Here is a 2,176-nt window from a genome sequence, read left to right as displayed (position 1 = left end):
AGAAACTGAGGGGTGAGGAGAGGATGGGAGGAAGGGCTTTGAATTCAAGAGGACAAAGGGATGGCAGAGAGGCCAGGAAACCAAAGACAGGGTCGCTCCCACCACAGAGGCCCGTCATGCTCAGCTTTGTGCCCTGAGGAGGGAGGTTTGAGGTAGGAGAAACCCTGGGGAGACTATGAGGAGGTCAGTGACTGAAAGGGGCGGTCCTCAATGAGTCAGGCCGAATGCTGGTGGGCTCTGAGACCTAAGAAGCCCAGGCTCATCCCTCCCTTTCGCAGGCGAGGAGACTGGGGCCCTAGGAAAGCAGCCCGCCTGGGACCCTCCATGGGGGAGGCAGGAGGTGCAGGACAGTCCCTCACAGCTCCATATGGCCTGCAAGGGGGCGGTGAGGGCTCCCTGGTGGCTTTCTTCTGTGGAAAGACCAGAGCTTCCTTTTCTCACCTCAATCCCTGCTTTTATTTCCTCCTCCTTGCCCCTGGTGGGGAGGGGCACTGGTTAGACAGAGTAAAGTCAGGACAGTCTCTACGTCAGCTTAATACAGCAGCAAAGTGATGCTATACAAAAAGCTTTGCATAACCAAGGTCTTCCCTGAAGCCTATCTGAGACCTAAAGACCTGAGACCCTCTCAGGGCAGACCATGAGAACTCCTGACCAGAGGCAGGAAGGCTGTCGCCATCCCCGGTGAGGAGAGGAACAAAGAGAAGTGTCCCAGCGATGGACAAAGGGACAGGGAGACAGTCCAGAGTCACATCTATCCATGCAGAGCACCCGGCAGGTGGCTGAGACAAACTTCCCAATCAGCAGGAAAGGACCTACCAGTAACGAAGGGCACAGGGTGACTGAGTGTCCTCGTGGAAATGGGACGGTTCTGCTCTGAGCTCTCATTACACACACAGGTAAATTCCAGCTGGATTACAGAAAATATAGGAGCATAGCTAGGTGATGCCAGGGTAGGAAAGATTCCTTAGCAAGATACAAAATCACAAACCACAAAGGAAAAGGTTGGCAAGTTTAGCTGGCTACAAATAAATAGCATGCTCCCCCCAAAAATTATTTTTAAATAATGAAACATCAAAACAAAGCTAAAAGACAAGCCATTGACTTAGAAAAGACAATTTCCCAACATTTTATATGGAAAATTTCAAATACCTCAAAGAATTGAAAGAATACCCACATCCCCACCACCCGGATCATGGACAGGCAAACTATGGTCCATCGGCCAAATCCCGCCCACCTCCTACTTTTGTATGGTCTGCAAACCAAGAATGATTCTTAAATGGTTTTTAAGTGGTTGAAGAAAAGAAATCTATAGAAGAATGATATTTTGTGGCATGTGAATATTATATGAAATTCAAATAGAAGTGTCCATAAATAGAATCTCACTGGAAACAGCCAGGCCTATTTGTTTATGAATTGTCTACGGCGGCTTTCATGATGCAACTGCAGAGTTGTGTGGTTGCAACAGAGACCATACGGCCTGCAAAATGTGGGAGATACTTACTGTCTGGCCTTTTAAGAAAAGGTTTGCTGACCCTTAACTCTGATTCTACCATCAAGATTTTACAACACTTACTTTATCACGTACTTATGCAGCTATGAAAAGAGATATTTGCAAATGAGCTATGGCAAAAGACTACCACTCAAAACACGTTGAGAAGGAAAGAGTCTGGACTTCCTTGGAGGCAGCCTCAAAGGCACATGAAAAGGACTAATGGGAGGAGTCATGGCCAATTGGCCCCTTATCTGGATTCTGTGTGCATTTGCAATTGTCTGACATTGAGACTATTCATTATCTCTCCTATTATTGTTTTTCTTGGTAATGGACTCGGCCAGTTGAATGTTGCAAACATATTAATTTCCCACAGTGTGTAGTTGTATATTTGGAAGGTTGTTTGACTAGTGTGGACGTTGAGCTCCAGGGAGGTAGGGTCCATGCAGCACTGTTGTGTGCCTGGTGCCTAGCACAGTGTTGGGCATATTTTTGACCTCCACTGATATTTGCTAAGTGAACAAATACATCAATCTCTGAAATGAGAGATGAGTCACCATCCCTGTTTCACTAAGCTATTGCTTTTGCTTCCCTGTTATGGGACTCTCTGGCCCATCCTGTTGCCTGGAGCAACCAGGGGCAGCCTGACCCCCAGAGAGACAGGAGGGGAGGTGCCAACTTAATTAG

At 47.3% G+C, this 2,176-nt stretch overlaps 1 annotated feature.

Annotated features, from left to right (window-relative positions):
• Window positions 282-797: an enhancer, noted in NCBI's record as "H3K4me1 hESC enhancer chr15:70142408-70142923 (GRCh37/hg19 assembly coordinates)". NCBI's record gives its function as "activates a minimal SCP1, AML or CMV promoter by ChIP-STARR-seq in primed H9 embryonic stem cells {active_cell/tissue: H9 hESC(primed)}" and the evidence as "EXISTENCE:reporter gene assay evidence [ECO:0000049][PMID:30033119]".

This window comes from Homo sapiens, chromosome 15 (assembly GCF_000001405.40).
Source record: "Homo sapiens chromosome 15, GRCh38.p14 Primary Assembly".
Lineage (NCBI taxonomy): Eukaryota > Metazoa > Chordata > Mammalia > Primates > Hominidae > Homo > Homo sapiens.
Note: the sequence above shows the minus strand (reverse complement) of the source record. Positions and strands in the feature narration are given on the sequence as shown.